Source organism: Homo sapiens, chromosome 22 (genome assembly GCF_000001405.40).
Source record: "Homo sapiens chromosome 22, GRCh38.p14 Primary Assembly".
Lineage (NCBI taxonomy): Eukaryota > Metazoa > Chordata > Mammalia > Primates > Hominidae > Homo > Homo sapiens.
Window position 1 is genome coordinate 36,188,706 of NC_000022.11, and position 18,341 is coordinate 36,207,046.

General features: G+C 48.8%; 1 protein-coding gene across 7 annotated transcripts, besides 5 other annotated features; it reads right to left on the bottom strand.

Moving 5' to 3' along the window:
* On the bottom strand, positions 423–16,128 carry APOL4 (apolipoprotein L4). 7 transcript variants are annotated; one of them, NM_030643.4, is made up of 6 exons: positions 15,923–16,128; positions 13,288–13,350; positions 12,995–13,183; positions 10,625–10,671; positions 6,606–6,732; positions 423–3,207 (listed from the first exon to the last, which is right to left on the bottom strand). In NM_030643.4, exons 3-6 carry the CDS (start codon positions 13,027–13,029, stop codon positions 2,370–2,372), a joined length of 1,047 nt encoding a protein of 348 aa, NP_085146.2. In that variant the 5' UTR covers positions 13,030–13,183; positions 13,288–13,350; positions 15,923–16,128; the 3' UTR covers positions 423–2,369. The 7 variants fall into 7 exon arrangements, with proteins under 7 accessions (NP_085146.2, NP_663693.1, XP_047297461.1 ...); NM_145661.2 differs by lacking the exons at positions 423–3,207; positions 6,606–6,732 and adding exons at positions 8,750–9,126; positions 10,851–10,903 and having other exon boundaries at positions 15,923–16,101; NM_145660.2 differs by lacking the exon at positions 12,995–13,183.
* Positions 1,396–1,897: an enhancer, noted in NCBI's record as "NANOG hESC enhancer chr22:36586149-36586650 (GRCh37/hg19 assembly coordinates)". NCBI's record gives its function as "activates a minimal SCP1, AML or CMV promoter by ChIP-STARR-seq in primed H9 embryonic stem cells {active_cell/tissue: H9 hESC(primed)}" and the evidence as "EXISTENCE:reporter gene assay evidence [ECO:0000049][PMID:30033119]".
* Positions 8,378–8,672: a silencer, noted in NCBI's record as "tiled region #479; HepG2 Repressive non-DNase unmatched - State 23:Low, and K562 Repressive DNase unmatched - State 8:EnhW". NCBI's record gives its function as "represses a minimal TATA promoter and a strong SV40 promoter by Sharpr-MPRA in HepG2 and K562 cells {active_cell/tissue: HepG2 | K562}" and the evidence as "EXISTENCE:reporter gene assay evidence [ECO:0000049][PMID:27701403]".
* Positions 8,378–8,924: a biological region, named in NCBI's record as "Sharpr-MPRA regulatory region 479".
* Positions 8,406–8,924: an enhancer, noted in NCBI's record as "H3K27ac-H3K4me1 hESC enhancer chr22:36593157-36593675 (GRCh37/hg19 assembly coordinates)". NCBI's record gives its function as "activates a minimal SCP1, AML or CMV promoter by ChIP-STARR-seq in primed H9 embryonic stem cells {active_cell/tissue: H9 hESC(primed)}" and the evidence as "EXISTENCE:reporter gene assay evidence [ECO:0000049][PMID:30033119]".
* Positions 13,080–13,579: an enhancer, noted in NCBI's record as "H3K4me1 hESC enhancer chr22:36597831-36598330 (GRCh37/hg19 assembly coordinates)". NCBI's record gives its function as "activates a minimal SCP1, AML or CMV promoter by ChIP-STARR-seq in primed H9 embryonic stem cells {active_cell/tissue: H9 hESC(primed)}" and the evidence as "EXISTENCE:reporter gene assay evidence [ECO:0000049][PMID:30033119]".

The following is an 18,341-nucleotide window of genomic DNA, read 5'->3' on the forward strand; positions in this document are numbered from 1 at the left end:
AAGTCTCTAGAACACAAGAGAAGAGGGCCAGGTGGATGTGAGATATCATCTTGTCCAGCCCCCCTTTCCCAGCTGATGAGGAAACTGAGGCTCAGAGAGATGGGGTCTCTTGACTGCAGGCTGGTTCATCTCCTCAATGCACCACAACATTCCTTGACTTGTTCCTGGCATCTGGTTTTGCTTTTATTTTTCTTCACACATCAACGTTTCCAATATAGCATTTGGAGTTTCATTGAAATGTCATCGGTCCCTCAGTGTACGCTGGCCCCAAGCAGGGCCGACCCCATGTCAAGTCCTCTTGCTGTCTGCTGACATCACCACAATCACCTTTACCACTGTTAGGACAAAAACTTGAGACAGGAACTTGCCCTCAAAGCGGGAAAGGAGCCATGAGACCAAGGAATGACTTAAACAAGTCCAGCTTGGCGAGTAGCTAAGTTTATTAGGACTTACACACAGGGCACTCAGCAAGACAGCTCGAGAGATCCAGCCTCCCCCAATGTCTAAACTGCTTTTCAGTTAATTTTCTGGCTCTTTGTCTACTATATATGAGCAACGAGACTTTTACTTGGTTGGTTCTCAGATACTCTCCAGGATGTTTGGATTCTCAGAGACACCTGGTCCTCAGCTGGGCACCATGGAAATGGCTCATTACCCGGCCTTCAGGGTTCAAGCAGGGGACATGCACCCTTAAATAACCTAAAGGGGACCTGTCACACTACAACCACCACCACCATCATCAAGAAGCCACTGGCTGACTCAGATACACCCCCGGGAGGACAAGGGAGAGTGGATGCTGGTAAGACAGGGTGAGAGACCATCACCAGGGAAGGATTCCATTCTTGGAAGGACATCCAACCGGGGGGCGGGTCTTTAGTGGAGCCGCTGTTTCTTCTCCTGTATCCAACAGTTCTAACTGTGGCTTTCTCCATTTTCAGCTCTTTCTTTTCCTGGTCTTCTCATTGCTTGTTCCTACGTGCCTCCCTCTCTTCCTCCCCCAATATACTCTTTAGTCTAGAGTAAACTGCTTCTTTCCATTCCCCACACTCTCCAGTCCCCTCTCCTCCCTTATTCCAGGCCCCAGCATTTCTGCCTTCTCCTTGGCGCACTTGCCATCTTGAGTAACCCCTCCCCTGCTGTGCTCAGCTACAGATGCCAAAGTTCCTAACACTGAGTTCCATAAACTTTACCTCGCCCTCTTTATTCCCCTAAAAAATGTCTGCGTTTTGTCCCGGCCTGTGTCTGGCTCACCTTCCCTGGTGGCTGCACTGCTCTGGGGTCATTGGGTATCGGGGAACCTGCCCCGATGGTCACGTAGGTTCTTTTCTATTTTCCCTAAGTGTTGGCCGGTTTGAGAAATAAAGGCACAGAGTACAAAAGAGAGAAATTTTAAAGCTAGGTGTCCAGGGGAGACATCACACATCGGTAGGTTCCGTGATGCCTCACAAGCCGCAAAACCAGCAAGTTTTTATTAGGGACTTTCAAAAGGGGAGGGAGTGTATGAATAGGGTGTGGGTGTGGGTCACAAAGATCACCTACTTCACAAGGTAATAGAATATCACAAGGCAAGTGGAGGCAGGGCGAGATCACAGGAACACAGGACCGGGGAGAAATTAAAATTGCTAATGAGGTTTCGGGCACCATTGTCATTGATAACATCTTATCAGGAGACAGGGTTTTGAGAGCAACCGGTCTGACCAAAATTTATTAGGCGGGAATTTCCTCTTCCTAATAAGCCTGGGAGCGCTATGGGAGACTGGGGTTTATTTCATCCCTACAGTCTCGACCATAGAAGATGGCCACACCCAAGGAGGCCATTTATAGACCCACCCTCAGGGGTGCATTCTCTTTCTCAGGGATGTTCCTTGCTGAGAAAAAGAATTCAGCGATATTTCTCCCATTTGCTTTTGAAAGAAGAGAAATATGACTCTGTTCCACCAGGCTCACTGTTGGTCAGAGTTTAAGGTTATCTCTCTTATTCCCTGAACAATTGCTGTTATCCTGTTCTTTTTTCAAGGTGCCCAGATTTCATATTGTTCAAACACACATGCTCTACAATTTGTGCAGTTAACGCAATTATCACATGGTCCTGAGGTGACATACATCCTCCTCAGCTGACAGGATTAGGAGATTAAAGTAAAGACAGGCATAAGAAATCACAAGGGTATTGATTGGGGAAGTGATCAGTGTCCATGAAATCTTCACAATTTGTGTTTAGAGATTGCGGTAAAGACAGGCATAGGAAATTATAAAAGTATTAATTTGGGGAACTAATAAATGTCCATGAAATCTTCACAATCCACGTTCTTCTGCCATGGCTTCAGCCAGTCCCTCCGTTTGGGGTCCCTGACTTCCCGCAACAATTGGGCCTAGCCTGCTTTTAGACTCTGATGGATATGGGTGAGCTCATTGAGATTCTCCTCCAGCTCCTGAGCCCACTGCCTCAGCGACTCAGCAGACTCGGATTTTGCCCCCTTGTGCAAGTCCAGTGAGTCTTGCACAAGGTTGACTACATCCAGCACAACAAGGACACCTGAAGTGGCCTTGCCCAGGTTCCGGGCTACTTTTCTCACTATCCGGGTGGGGGCCCCACGTGTTCTCAGTGTCTCAACAACATTTATAGGTACATATCGCCAAGCAATCAAAGGGCGTCCAACAGTGGCTTTAGATCTCCTGAGTGTATGGACATCATTCGCAATCATTTTTGTGGCTTCGTCAAAATCAAGTGCAAAAGAAAGCACATTGGGTGTGATGTCACGCAGAATGTCCCTTAATGCCTCCAATTGGTCAGTGCTGGTTGCAGTCAGCCTGCTGGCTGTGAGTTCTGCTGACCTTGTGTATGTGTTCTCCACGATGCTGGAGGCGATCCCAGCCGTGGCAGATGCTATTCCCAGCCCTACCCCAGCTGCAGTAATGCTCAGGCTCAGCCCTGCTGTAAATGGTGCCAACATAACGCCAATGACAGACAGGATGCCAGTGGAGCCAGACACCACATTGGCGATGACGCAGCCTCTGTGGACCTTTTCAATCTCATTTGCAATGACACGAAGCCTTTCTATGGACTCCTGAATCTTCCATCTGATTTGAGGAAACTCTTTCAAAAACCACTCCCTAAACTGCTGTTCTTTTTGCTGCATGTCTTTGTCCTCAATAGCCACATATGGTGTAAGATTCTTCAGAGCTTCATAGAGAGCATCTGCCTCTTCCCTGTACCAATAAAGGACAGATGATTAAGAAAGGCAGCTTACTTACCTGTAAAATGAGCTCAATAAGATCTATTCTGCATAAATCACAGAGCTGTTTCTATAAGTCAAATGGAAGTAAAGTTCTAAAAGATAAATAATTCTTTTCAAGGCCGGGCGCGGTGGCTCATGCTTGTAATCCCAGCACTTTGGGAGGCCGAGATGGGTGGATCACAAGGTCAGGAGATCGAGACCATCCTAGCTAACACGGTGAAACCCCGTCTCTACTAAAAATACAAAAAATTAGCCAGGCGTGGTGGTGAGTGCCTGTAGTCCCAGCTACTTGGGAGGCTGAGGCAGGAGAATGGCATGAATCCAGGAGGTGGAGCTTGCAGTGAGCCGAGATCGCGCCACTGCACTCCAGCCTGGGCGACAGAGCGAGACTCCATCTCAAAAAAAAATAATAATAATAATTCTACTCAAGGTTAAATATGTTTTGTACAACATAGATATGCCACAGTACTTATTCAGTATGGGAAAAAATAAGTTAAAGTCATCTTCCGATGCTCTTTAGTGGCTATGTGTTTGATAAAGATGGCTCCTCATGCAAGGGAGGTCAATGCCATCACTACCAGGGTGTGTGGAGAGGGGAAACTTTGTAGAAAAACAAAGAGAAGTGGGTTCAGAGCAAAAAGACCTTCATTCAGAGGATCATAGAACAGTGATGAATTAACTTTATTAGAAGAGAGCATATCCCTTTGTCCTCGGCCCCTGGAAAGGGATCTCTGGGGCCCTGGAATGTCCTGCCTGGTAGGAACGTCTTTGTTTCCCTGGTGGTTTGGCTACAGGCCAGTATAGCAATGTGATGGGTGATGGGCGTTTAGGGCTATTAGGTGTCTCATCTGCCTTCCAGAGGAACTGAGGACTAAAGGGGTTAGACCTTGGGGAAGGGCTGGAGACTCCATGTCTGCCATGACGGCAGCTTGTGATCCAGCCCCAGGAAGAGCTCTGCATTGTCATGAGTTAAGAAAGACTTACTCCTTGGCCAAACTTCAGTTGGGCGGTTCTGAGCCTCTTCTCCTCTAGACATTGACCTTGGCCTTCCATGCCCATCCCGTGCTTGCTGGGCCTGCACCGCCCCAGCTCAGCAAGAATCCCCCAAAGTCAATTTAGAGAGGATCCCCCCAGCTTGCTGTCTGAGCACACTTGCTCTCTGATCACGGTCTTCACCCATTCATTTGATAAGCGACTGTCTGACCTGCCTTTAGGGAGCATCCTGTTAGGCCAGTTTAGCAGGAACCCCCCACTCTGGTGTCTCCTGTCAGTCCTGTTCCATCTGCCGCCCCTTACCCTGGTGTTGGCTGTGACTCCCCCTCTGACTTTACTGTATTGGGAGCTGGGCTCAGTCTCCCTCCCCTGTAACAACAATCCTGAATAAAGGCTTCCTTCCTGATTTAATGTGATTCATAGGAATTTTTCCTTAACTGGGTGAGCTTCCCTGGTTGGCAACACCCCATGTGTTTTGTTCCACATTGACACAGGAGAACACAGCCTCCTGAGGACAATGAAGCTTCACAACTGAAACCCTCTCAGACTCTGCCCTGTATGTCTCTTCCTTAATCTGTGTTCTTTCCCTGTGATAAACCACAATCGTGCAATAACAGTTATCAGTGAGTTACGTGAGTCCTTGTAGTGAATTATCCAACCTGAGGGGGGCTTAAGAAAGCCCCTCAAGTTTGCAACTGGTGTCAGAAGTAAGGGTGCACTCGAACGTTGCAGTTCACCTAAATCTGAGTCCTTAAGAATTCAAACACAACCTCAGACTAGAAGGTGTCAATTTGCCTGGCATGTTCTCTCTTCCAATGCCTCATGCCCTTTGACGTTCTGACTAAAGGCCACTGGGTCCAGCCACTGCCACCTATGACTGAAAAGTGGAAGACCTGGCTATTAGTCCTGGCTGCACACAAACTCTCAAGCCACCTTACTGCCTCCTGACCTGGCACCTCCAAACTTCAGGGTCTCACTCTCACATGTCACCAGCCAAACTAATGCCTTAGCAGGTGACAGCTTCATGTGTATACAGGTCAAGGCCCTGTACAATTTCATGGAAGCTCTTGAGGACTCATGAGGACTTTGAAAATCATCTCTATAAATCACTAATGCTGAAAAGACCTGCATTTGGACAAGATGGTAGAGAAAGTGTTTTTCTCTTTGGTTGGGGACTTGTGAGTCTTCCGAGAACCCTTCAAATTACACCAGTTGAAGCCACTCGTCCCCACTCTGGAAGTTGGCCTGAAGAAACATTGCCTCTACTCTATGTAGAACAGAAGAAGGTTTCAAATGGCAGCCCAGAACTCCCCATTTCCCAGGCATGGTGTCGGGGAAACAGTCACCCATGGCCCACTATGCCCATCAGTGATGGGATCAAATCAGGGAGGGAAGAAATATCCCTCTCCTACTCACGGGTCTTCTGCAAGTCCATGACCATGTTACATTTCATGCTCTCAGTGTCTCCCTTCTCTCACCCTCCTCCCAGCCTTGATGCTCCAGCCTTCCTGCTGCTCCTCCAATCTAGGTCCACCCCTGCCCCATCCTGACCCCTGGCTCTGCCCCTGGCAATGTCTCTCTGGGTCTTTGGGCGGCATCATGCTATTTGGTTCCCCACCTTTGACCTGGAGTTCATTCTAAGGCCTTCACCACACTCCCATCTGATTGAATTACTAATAGCATTGGACAGACGGCAGGTCCCAGTCTCCAAGACATAAACCAACAGCCCCAGAGCTGTGCAGGGACAGAGCCAGGATCCACCCCAGCTCTGTCCAACTCCATTCCAGCCTCTCTGTGTCCTGGGTCAGCAGAAGGATTCTGCTGTGTTTGTGCAGTTCCTCAGAAGTTCAGGAAAAGGGCCCCAGACAGCATCTCCGGGAACACACATTGATCAGGTCAAGATTTTTCTGACTTTTCCCAAAGAAAGTCCTGCTGGGCTTCCATCTCTAAGAAAAAGACTTTTGGCCCTGGTCTCTTGCCAGCAAGTTTTGTAAAAGGTAACGCTAACTGAGCACCTACTGTGTGTCAGTCATTATGCTAAATACTTTACATGCATTATCTTATTTTTCTCACAATAAAGCTCAATGGATGAAGAAAGGAAAGCAGAAAGTAGTCAAGTAGCTTGCAAAGCTCCCATCACCAGTAGATGGCAGAACTGACCCTGCCCTTGTGGGCTTCTTCTCCCCTCAGCCTGAGGTCACTCACTGCCAGCGAAGCACTTGGAGGAAATATTCTTCCTGCACTGCTGAGAGGGACATCCTCAAGCCCAGCAGAGGGGGCTGCCTGGAGGAGGTGTGCCTGCCAGAGAAAACTAGCCCGGGGAGATCTGGGTGGCATCACCGGGGTGCCCCAAGGAGGTAACCCCATGGAGGTTACCTGGGCAATTCAGCCACACGCACAAATCTCTTCCAGGCTTCATCGCTAGTCAGCAGGATTTTCAGATGCACTGGGCTAACTTTCTTCTGGAAGTATTCAATGACTTCTTCAGTGAAGCGTTTCTTTTCTAGTTGGAAACAAAAAGGATAAGATTGGAAGAAAGTTTGCTACCACATAAATGGCATTGAGTATAAGGTGGTTCGGTGTTAATCCTCCTGAACCAGCTGTCACATGGGGTATTTTTGATGGAGGCACCAGTGCTATAGACTGAATTGTGTGCCCCCCAAATTCAAATACTGAGGCTCTAAACCCCAGTGACCGTATTTGGAGATTGAGCCTTTAAGGAAGTCATTAATTTAAAGGGAGTCATAAGAGTAGGGACCTACTCCTATAGGACTGGTGTCCAATTAAAAGAAAAAAAAGAGACAGATGATCTCTCTCTCTCTCTCTCTCTCTCTCTCTCTCTCACACACACACACACACACACACACACACACACACACACACCACTGTGAAGGCCATGTGAGGACACAGCCCTGAGGCAGCCTCTGTAAGCCAGGAGCAGAGCCCTCCCCAGACATCAACCCTGCTGGCACCTTCACCTTGGACTTCTTGCCTCTAGAACTGTGAGAAAATACGTCAGTTGTTGAAGCCACCCAGCTTGTGGCATTTTACTAAGGCATCCTGAGAAGAGTGATTCACCAGGGAAGTGCCACGATGCTTTGTGGAGGAACCAATCTATTTCAGCTGAGAATCACCAGAAAGTGAGCTTTCCACCATGTTTTCTCCCCATGTACGGGAAATATTCCAGTGATCGCTTCCTCCTGCCATGTGCCTATTGTCAAACACTTTACACCAGTGTCTTCAAAATCTGAATTTTGACCCATCAGTGGGTTATGACAATAGTTCATTGTGTCAAGAGCAGCATTTTAAAAAGAAAAGAGCATTGAAAATATCAGAGTATATTGAACATAGCAAGAGTGAGTATTCTTTTGTAAGATACTTGAAATATACCTATAGACCCTTATGTAAATTCCTGGGATCTAGATGTGTTTAGGATGGCAGCATTTTCAATCTTCTAGAAGGGACAGAGGGTGCATATGGTTTATCACTGACCACTCCCAGCAGGGACTGGGCCCCACCTTGTAATCAAAGGTACAAATGTTTCAACCAGGAAACCAATGAATATTCACCTTAAGTGGCATACATAATATTATCACTACAAAGCATCTTAGTACACAGCAGGATTACTGCCCAGATGAGTTGCCCCAAAAATGTGTGGTTTGCAGGGATTTGGGAATTATGGAACTCCAGAGAAGGGGCTGGGAACCAGTTTGTATTTATGTATGCACTGGGACATGATGTATAATTGTTTCCTGCTGTGCTCATACGTGCGAGGCCTCATTCTCATTTCACAGAAGGAGAAATTGAGACCCAGACAGCGAGAGACACCACCCAACCCAGCAAGCAGGAAGCTCAGGATTTGACTCAAGGCCAGCGTTCCCTTGCCATTACTTTGAAGACTCCATATATTTAAAAAATGCCTGTGGTTTCTGCATTCTCCCCTGTAGTATACCTGTGGGGTTTTAAACATTTTATTTGCACAGAGGATTCCTCCTGCTGGTCATGGGCTCTCTCAGATGGGCAGTGGAGGGGGTTCTTTAGGTGGGCAGGGGAGTGGGACCCTCAGCACTGATCCTTGTGGCCCCTCCGTGTTGCCTCTGTCCCCTGCAGGCTGGTCTCAGGGTACACGGCTCCCCACTGGCACCTCTGAACCCAGCTGGCCCCGTTAGTAAACCACAGATCATCTTGTTTCAGAGGGAGAGCTTCTTCCTTGGCCGCCCAGCCCAGCCCTTCCTAAGGATTCTGGGATTGGCTGAGAGCTCTCAGCTTCTAATCTTCCCTGCCCTCCCCTCATCTTGGACAGGACTCAGCACAGCCCAGTTTGCTGTCCAGGGCGGCCCCTGAGCAGAGCTGACTTGGTTGCCATGGCAACTCTGTAAGGGGAGGAAGCCCTCCTGAGGAAATGGGGCTTAGGGAAATGAACGCAGTGCTGACTTGGCTGGGCGAGGGATTGTCTTGTTTTTTCTTTTTCCTTCTTCACCAAAAGGAGGAAGGAAACTCAGGGTTGGATGGAGGGAACCTCCAGCACTAAATTTGTGTTTTATTGATGGGGTGGGGATGGTGAATATTAAAGCAAAATTAAAATAAAAACCAGACCTGAAACATTCCCGGGCAAACAAAACCAACCAGACCTTCAGAACAGCTGTAACCCCCCATGAAACTGCAAGCTATGAATCTGAACTGGGGTCATATCAGATGGGCGCTTCTGTCAGACACAAACACAGCTTAACCTCGGCCAGTCATGAGCAGCCAGCTGACAGAGGGCCATGCTGAGATGTGGATACTGGGAGGTCACAGAAAGAACAAGAACTCCAGGCAGCAGGTTCACATAATGGACACAGAAGGAGCTGCTGTAACCAGCTGTAGGGACAGGGGGAGGGGATGGGCCCAGAGGACCCTGACAAACAGGAAGTGGCCAATCTGGCTAAGACCAGTAAGATCTAACTCAGCACTGGGTCTGACCCACCTTTCACCCCAGACTCAATCATACCCTCCTTGTCCCACACCCACCTGTGCCACAGAAGTTCCATGCTTGCAACAAAACTGCGTGGCCCCCCAGTTCCAAGAAATCCCCGCCTCTTCCCATAAATCCTTATGCTTACTCTGCCCCTTAACTTAGTAAACCCACAAAGTCAGAAACCCCAAACCCCACTGGGCCCGACTGGCTCTTCTGAGTCCGCCTGCACTCCCACCCCTGAGCCTGCGCTTCTGCTTTGCAATAAAAGCTAATTTGCTTTGGCTTTGCCTCAAATTCTTTCTCTCTTCGTTGTCAGAATCCTGGACAAGGCTAAGGTCCGGTCTCACCTGCATTCAGAGACCTCCCTAAACCCACCGGCATCAACATGACCAGGAATTTTCCAACAAGGTAAAGCAAAACAGGCAGTTTTATCACTGGAACTAATCAAATAATGTCCTAATTGCACTTCCATATTCACCCGATAAACACTTGTCTTCCACAGTTTTTCATCATAACACAAAACCTCCTCCAGTTTGGTTTTCTCTATTTATGAACTCCTTCTTATTCAGATAAATGTTGTTGTGCCTCAGATGTTTCTTTGACAAGGGGTACTTTCGATGATTGGACTCAGCCCAGATAAAGAGGTGCTTGTGACAGGCAGTGCAGGGTGGGTGCCCTAACACAGCTCGGGAAGGGGGTGGCTTCCACTTACAATCAACAGGGGTCAGGTAGAGGGGATGGGAACCACCCCTTAGGGAGGCCGTACTGTGTGGCAGGCACTGGCTGGCCCAGGTACCCATGTAATGTTTGATCCTCATGACAACATGGGCAAATATCCTAGTGGTGCAGGTGAGGAGGAGTAAGGAGCTCCAGGTCACACAGAGGGGACATGGCCAAGACCAGAATGGGGTCCAGTTCAGTGGGAAGCTGGGTCACTCTACCCACAGGGCCACTCAGAGCAGAGGGGCTGGTGCAGGGCAAGAGCTGGAGGGAGGGGACCGGCCTCTGCTGGAAACACCCCAGGGTCAGCCAGGAGCAGAGAGGGAGGTGAGAGGTCAGGGCTGCTGGTCAACCTCCTCTCCCACCCCTCCGCTACTCCTGGCCAACCCTCAAAAGCCAACCCTGCTGTTTCCATTTCCCCAAGGCTGTCCTGCCCCACTTAAGTCATTTGCTAGGTGTCAGGGTAGGGAGGAAGTGGGCACCTGGGCCATGACCCGCTGAGGAGAGGTCAGGATGCAGATGCCCCCCAGAACCCTGGGTCAGGGGACTCCACGTGGCCTCTCTTGGGGCTTGGGGCAGCCTCATCAGCCACCTCCGTCTGGGTTCCGTTGGGGCTCACTCAGCCTTGAAGACACCACCCTCCATTCTAGCTGTGGGTAGGAACCAGCCAGGGAAGAGGAGGCGAGCCTACCAGCAGCCAGGTCTCTGAAAGGCTTACCTTGGAACTGTCCAGCCACTGTCCAGCCTGGATGGTTTTGCTGCACCCTTGAGGAAGAGAAAACAAATTGTGGGATTGAATGTGAGCCACCTATGGGCAAAGGGAGGCTTGAACAGCTGGGCCTCTGCAGATCCCTCTGAGGTGGCAGCAAATGCCAAGACCAACCTAACCCAGATTCTTTCTCTATCACCAAGTCCCCATCATCTGCTATTTACAGACACTCAACTCATTCCAGCTCCCTCTTCCCTCACTCTCACACCAAGGAAAAGTCCGCTTGTCCTGTTGGAGAATGAGGAGAAGATAATCAGAGGAGGGGCAGCCATCTGATCATTACAGAAACTACACAGTCTATACGCAGAAATAGAGATGGGAAGGAACGTTCTAACAATGACCGGAAACATGTGTGACAACTAATTGATGATAGCCAGTCTGTATTGAGTGTCTGTGATGTGCAGGGCTTCTTTTTTTATTTTTATTTTTATTTATTTATATTTTTTGAGACGGAGTCTCGCTCTGTCGTCCAGGTGGAGTGCAGTGGCGCGATCTCGGCTCACTGCAAGCGCCGCCTCCCAGGTTCACGCCATTCTCTTGCCTCAGCCTCTCGAGTAGCTGGGACTACAGGTGCCCGTCGCCACATTCGGCTAATTTTTTGTATTTTCAGTAGAGAAGGGGTTTCACCGTGTTAGCCAGGATGGTCTCGATCTCCTGACCTCATGATCAGCCCGTCTCGGCCTCCCAAAGTGCTGGGATTACAGGCGTGAGCGGTCGCGCCGGGCCTGTGATGTGCAGGGCTTCTGACATGTGTCTCATTCAATGATCACACACAGCCCGGGAGATGGGTACCACTTTCCCATTTGAACACAGAGGAATCCACAAAAGTTAGGGAACTTGCCAGTGTTTTCTATTGCTAGAGCCAGGACTTCTGCTTCAACCTCATGTCTTCAATGACTGTGCTCTACTCCCTTAAATATACAATATTGAGTCATGTATACACGCTCATGGTAAATGACTCCTCATTGCAAATCCATGTCTCACACTCCGTGCTCAACTTTTCGTCTTGGTGAATTCACTGGTGCTGCAGTGGACAGCCTGTGTCCCCCTTGCTTCTCTAAGATCCTTTGTCCCACAAAGACCTGGATCCTGCCAGATGCCGGCCTAGCCCCTGCTGTGGCTGCCGAGCCCTCCTGGCGCTGCCCTGTTCCCTCTGCTGTCCTCCCCTAGCTGATGGACCTTAGGGTGTTTCTAATTCTTCATGTAAATTATGCTACAAAGAACACCCTCCTTCACGTAAAACTGCCCACATTTGATTTTATTTCCTTAAGATATTTGTAGGAGTAGAATGACTAGGTCAGAGGGTATCAACATCTCAAAATGTTTTATACCTAGAGCCACACTACATGCAAATTGTACCAATTCACACTCAAACTAGCAGTATATGAAGATGCCCATTCTTTCAGTCTTACTGGCTCTCAGTAGTCTCTTTATCAGGACAAAAAATATATACACAACATGTAAATTTGAGAACTAAATATCTTGTTATCAATACCAATTAGTACAAACTTTAAGGCACGAAGGTAGCAGTTGAGATGTGAAGCACTGAACAAAGGAGAAGGAGGATTAATATTGTCATTTTTTAAAGATGGAAGTTAAGAAATACTGGGTACAACTGAGGGTATAAGAAAGTTGTAAGTAAATTGTTTACAGCTACAAAGTTGCTAATGGAAGACATAAAACTGGTGATAGAATGTTAGGAAAAGGTGGAGAGGAGAGATAGAGGGAGGGTACAAATAAGATGAAAATGACTAATAATGATACTATAAATAATAACAATACCATTTCAGGCCCATCCCAGTTAGGGGCGGCTCCAAGCATTACCATTGTTCTTTTCTCACCGTGTGTCTCTGCGCACTCCCTGGCACACCCACTTCCAGCAGCTGGTCTTTGTTTGCAGACTTTATTTTAACAGCTCAGTGGTTCCCGGGCCCCCTGATGGGGTTCCATCCTCCAGCTCTCATACTAAAGCCCCCTCCTCAAAAGCCACTCGCCTCCCTCTTTCCCTTTCCTGCCTTTGTCTCAGGGTTCAGACACACAGATGTCTGTCTTCTGGGGCCCCCATGCAACAAGGGTAAAAGGGGGACCCAGTCCTGGGCAGCATTCACCAGGGGAGTATGCAGAGGGGCGTCTGGGCGCTTCTTGCTGTAAGGGACAGGGGTGACAGGAGAGGGGCATCCCTTCGCCTTCTTCCTGCTTTGTTCACTGTGTGACCCCCTAGGCCAAGGCAACCATCTCAACACCATGAGCCAGTAGAACTGGGAGGACCAGGAGAGAGCAGAGGAGCAGGAGGGCAGAGAGCTGGGGCCTCGGACTCACCCGACGCTTGTGATGAGCTGCACCCAGGATCCCATCCTCCTTGGTCATTGTTGGCCTGGCTCAGACGCTGATCTGGGGCCTCTGCTGAATGTTGAGGCTGGATACTGACTGTTAGCCTCAACTAGGACACAGTGCGTCCCCTCTAGGCGAGTCTACCAGTTGGTCAATTCCGGGAAGTGATTTTGGTTCCTAGAAAAACCCACATGGCTCCTGGCCCAGCCCAAGCCCTGCCCAATTGTGCAGCCCAGACAGGGAGCCCTCCCTCCCACCTCAGGGCTCTGAGCCAAGCTCACCAGATGCAGACGACAAAGATTTTCAGCAAAGCAGCTCCCTCCATGTCGCTGCGGGGCCTCCTCCTTGGGCAGGAAAAGAGGGGTTGAGACAGTGTGCTCCTCCTGAGAAATCACCATTTTCATTTCATTTTTAATAAACCGTTTTGCTGTGTCACCCAGGCTGCAGGGCTTTGACGCCATCCTAGCTCATTGCTGCCTAGATCTGCTGGGCTCAAGTGATCTTCCTCCTTCAACCTTCTGAGTAGCTGGGACTACAGGTGCACGCTACCATGCTGGGCTAATTTGTTAATTTTTGATTTCATAGAGACAGCATCTCCTGTGTTTCTCAGGCTGTCTTGAACTCCTGGCCTCAAGTGATCTTCCCGCCTCTGCCTCCCACAGCACTGGGATTACAGGCTTCAGCTATAGTGCTTTCTATCTTGATGGGCATCTCTTTTTGGTGAAGAAAAATCAGGCCGGGAGCGGTGGCTCACGCCTGTAATCCCAGCACTTTGGGAGGCCGAGGCAGGCAGATCACAAGGTCAGGAGATGGAGACCATCCTGGCTAACATGGTGAAACCCCATCTCTACTAAAAATACAAAAATTAGCCGAGTGTAGTGGCGGGCGCCTGTAGTCCCAGCTACTCGGGAGGCTGAGGCAGGAGAATGGTGTGAACCCGGGAGGCGGAGCTTGCAGTGAGCAGAGATTGCGCCACTGCACTCCAGCCTGGGCAACAGAGCGAGACTCCATCTCAGAAAAAAGAAAAAAAAAAAAAGAAAAAGAAAAATAAGACCACGACTCAGATTTCACAGAAATTACCCCCCTGATTTCATGGACTTTTGGCAGCTCTATCAGGTTTCTGAGAGGGGAAAATCTTAGGCTGGGAGGGGAGGTGACTTGCCCAGAGTCGCACAGCTCTTGGAGAGCAGACGGGAAGCCAACATCTGCCCTTGTGACTCTGCTATTGAAGAAAAACGGGTGATTTTAGTAATCCAACAGTGTCCAGGTTTGATTCTGCTTCTACAAACACAGAGATCTAAGCTCTCACTCCTGTAGTTACACTCACAATTCCACAGGTGGCTTTTGAATCTCATGATTACAAAGCTGGCGTCATGCCACAGGCACCATTCTGCAATGCGACCTTCTCACTCCCCTGTCTCAGCCATGTTTCCTATTGCGGGATCTGGCCAGCAGCCCCCAGTGCAACGGGGCTCTCTCTTTGCTCCTAGGCGGATCGGCAGGTTGAGAAATAATAGACACACACAAGATAGTGAAAGCTGGGTCCAGGGGGGTCACCGCCTTCTGGTCAACAATGCACTGGATATACCAGCATTTATTATTCAGTTTAGTGAGGGCGGGGGTAGGTTAGTGAGGGATTTAGGGTCATTTGATTACGAGGTGGGATGGTCACATGGGGATGAAGTAATTCTTTAACATAACATTCGTATGTAGAAGTACAGTGCATTTGTATGTAGAAGTACAGTATACAGAGATAAGAATTTACAATATAGTGTGTGCGTCAGTAATTTCTAACAGAGCCTTAAAACAGAAACACAATCTTTCCATAACCTATGATTAGCAAGATATTAATCAGCAGTAACAATTGCAACAAAAGCTGGTTACTGACAATCCATGGAAACAGGACGTGAAGCTAGATAACCGGTTAGACTAGAAATTCTCAGAAGGGAGTATACCTGAACCCTAAAGATGCCTAGAAGAGCCACGGCAAGATGATAGCATTTATAGCCCTAGCTTGTCCATATGGACAGGCGCCCCCCTGCATCCATTCATAGGCTCTCTGCAGGGGGAAGCACATCACGTGCTGTTGGTTCGTTCTGGCAGTCCAACCTGGCATTGTCTTTACACAATCCTGCATGCAATTTTGTATTTACAATAATCAGGAGCATTTCATCTTTTATTCCGTAGCAATAGTTTCAGGGGGTCTCCCTACAGTTTCCCATTAGGGACACAGCACAGCCTGTTTCTTCTCCATCACCCCAGAGGTCTGAACAGAGGGACAGAGGTGAGGGCCACAGACATGGAGTCCTATGATCTACCTGCTCAGCCTCCTGACACTGGACCCTGGGCAAGTCACTCCCCTCCCAGGGCCTCAGTTTCCCCACAGGGCCTGGCACAAGTAGGTGCTCAGACTCAGGGTGGGTGAGATGACCTCTAGGTTCCTTGTATCTCAAAAGAAATCTCTTGCCTCATCAGGCCTCAGCAGCCGCACCCCGGGGCCAGCCTGGTTGTGGCCAGACCATAAGGACAGACCGGGCTCCAGGTCACCTCCCCACCTCCACCTTCTTTGATTCCTTCAAATTTCCCAAAGAGATGGGCACCCCCAACACAAACCTTCCTTCTGGGGTCACCTGGCCATGTCTCAGCAGTCTAAAACAGAGCTGAGCCCAGAGAGCTTTGTGAACCCATCTGAGCTATTTCCCCACCTCTCTCTACGGTTTAAGGGCCCAGCAGGAGGGAGGGAGCAATCAGACTCAAGCCTGGGTGCAAATCCCGGCTCTACCACTGCTTTCCTGTCTGATCTGAACGAGTTACCTAACCTCTCCGAGCTTATCTACAAAAGCTGAATGATCCTTCCCTCATAGAGCTATTGCGAGAATAAGGAGATGGAGGGAGGTCACACCATCCCCAACTTACCAAGGGATCTTCCTCTGACAGAGACTGAGCAAGATCCAGCTGGTCTGAGCTGTGTGGATCTCACCTCCAGCTGTGCACCTATATAATAACCAGACACGTCCTCCAGCCCCCAAGATATACCCAGGAATTCGAAAGGTAAAATGAAAGTCACAACTTCCCAGCAGCTCACAATCAAGCACAGCAAACACGCTGCTCCCCAGCACCTCCTGCAGTCCAGCCCCACCCTCCTTGCTGCTGCGCTTAGAGGAGCAGCCTGAGACCAGACCTCCAGGTCTCTTTCATCCAACCCACCTGCCTGGCATCCTCGGGGTTGGGGGTCTGCTATAGTCTTCAGGAAGAAAGACCTGCCACTGACATACTGTGGGACCCTTCAGATTACTCCCCGTCCTCCCGTGCTTCCACATTCCCCTGATGCCTGCCTTACTCCTGCCCATACCATCAGCATTTGCACAGTCTCCTACACATGCCAAGTGGATCCTTATTGTATATTTATTGTAAGGCCATTGGGGTTATTTTGGTTTTGTTCTGGAGACAGGGTCTCACTCTGTAGCCAAGGCTGAAGTGCACCGCCACAGTCATAGTGCACTGCAGTTTCAAACCCCTGGGCTCAAGCCATCCTCCCACCTGAGCCTCCTGAGTAGCTGTTTCTACAGGCATCAGCCAACCACCCAGCTAATTTTTAAAAAAGTTATATTAGAGATGGTGTCTCACTATATTGACTGGGCTACTCTTGAACTCCAGGCCTCAAGTGATCCTCCCACCTTGGCATGAGCCACCGCACCAGGCCTGCTCTTGTTGAAGGCCATGGCTTGTGGCTTCTAGATATTTGCTTATGTGGGGTCTTCTGCCGGGATCCCCTGCTTCCACCACCTGGAAAAATCATGCTCATCGTTCAGTGACAAAATCAGGCATTGCCTCCTGTCAGAGATCCCCCAGCATCCTCCCAAGCAGAGGCCACTGCCCCGTGTTCCACTCCCGAGGCACACAGGGTGGAGGGACTAGAGACCACTGCTCAGCCACACTTCTATGGCTAAGAAGTCATGCAACCAGATTGCTATTGGACTTTTGTGCTTTGCCCCAGGCAGAAGGGCCTCAAAGACAGCTGAACCTCAGAAGCCAACCTGACCCTTCCATGGGGGCCTATTTCATCCTGAGCAAACATCGCTGGGGGCATCGTGGCCACCTCCCCCCACCCATACGCACACACACCAGCTTTTGAGACAGGAACAGAAAGGTGATTACACAGGGACTGCACAATACACTTTGCAATACATTCCATTTGCAAATGCTTCTCCATTTGATTGAATTTTATAATCATCCCCTCAATGGGCCAGGATTATGATCTAAGTTTTCAAATGAGGAAACTGAGGCAAGGGGCGAGGAAGTTGCTTTCATCCAGCAACTCAGGGAGGAGCCAAGACTTGTCAACCAAAGAGGGTCTGGGACACGTCTCAGTCAGTTTAGAGGTTTACTCTGCCAAGGTTGAGGATGCACCCAGGAAAAAGACACGCAAGTCACAGGAAGATCTGGGGCCCACTCATTATTCCCAGAGGGTTTTGAGGGCTTCAACATTTAAATGTGTAAAATCAGGCAGGCGTGGAAGGAGGGAAGGAAAAAAGACAGGATAGGTAATGAGCTGAGTGGTCACATTTTTGTGAGGCTTTGATCGGCCCTCCCTGAATCCATAGGTTCCATGTGAAAGGGGGTTAGAGGAACAGTCCATTATTCATTCTTCTTGTGCACAGTTAATCTACATTTTCTATAAGATAAAAATAAACAGAAAGTAGAGGAAGTAGGCATATGTGCATTTGTCTGAGTGTGGGCAGAAGGGTCACTTCCACTCTTGTCATTGTTAGGTACCAGTCAAGATAAGTTGCCAGTTTGCATTGTCACAGTGAAATTATACAAAGTCTGTCTCAGGGTGAAAATTTGGGGACCTACAAGGATTTTCTTTGTGAGGAATTTGTGAGGCAGGCCAACTGGGGTATATGTTGCCTTCCATCTTTGCAAATATCTGTTTAGAAACAAAAACAAAGGCAGGTTCTGGAGTGACTCTGTTTCCAGGCTTAACTGGTTCCACTGGTATAGTGAATTTGGGGCCCTGAGATTTGATTTTCCTTTCACATTTTCTCTTTGTTTTTCAATATCTTTTGGAGAAAACAGTGTAGAAGCAAAAGAATCTCCAGTCACGGGGTTGGTCTGAATTCTGTAACACAAAGTATTCCACCTTCCGTTTGCTTGCAGGGGTTTAGAAAAAGGACAGTTTTGATTTCTGGTGATGCCAAGTCAGAAAAATGAGAGAAAAACAAAAGGAATATGTTAGTTTGGAGACTTGTAGCCAGGAAAGAATTCAATATCTAGTGCGGATAAATTGTAGACAAATAATAAAGCTGGAAAACAATGGACAAAGCTAGAATCT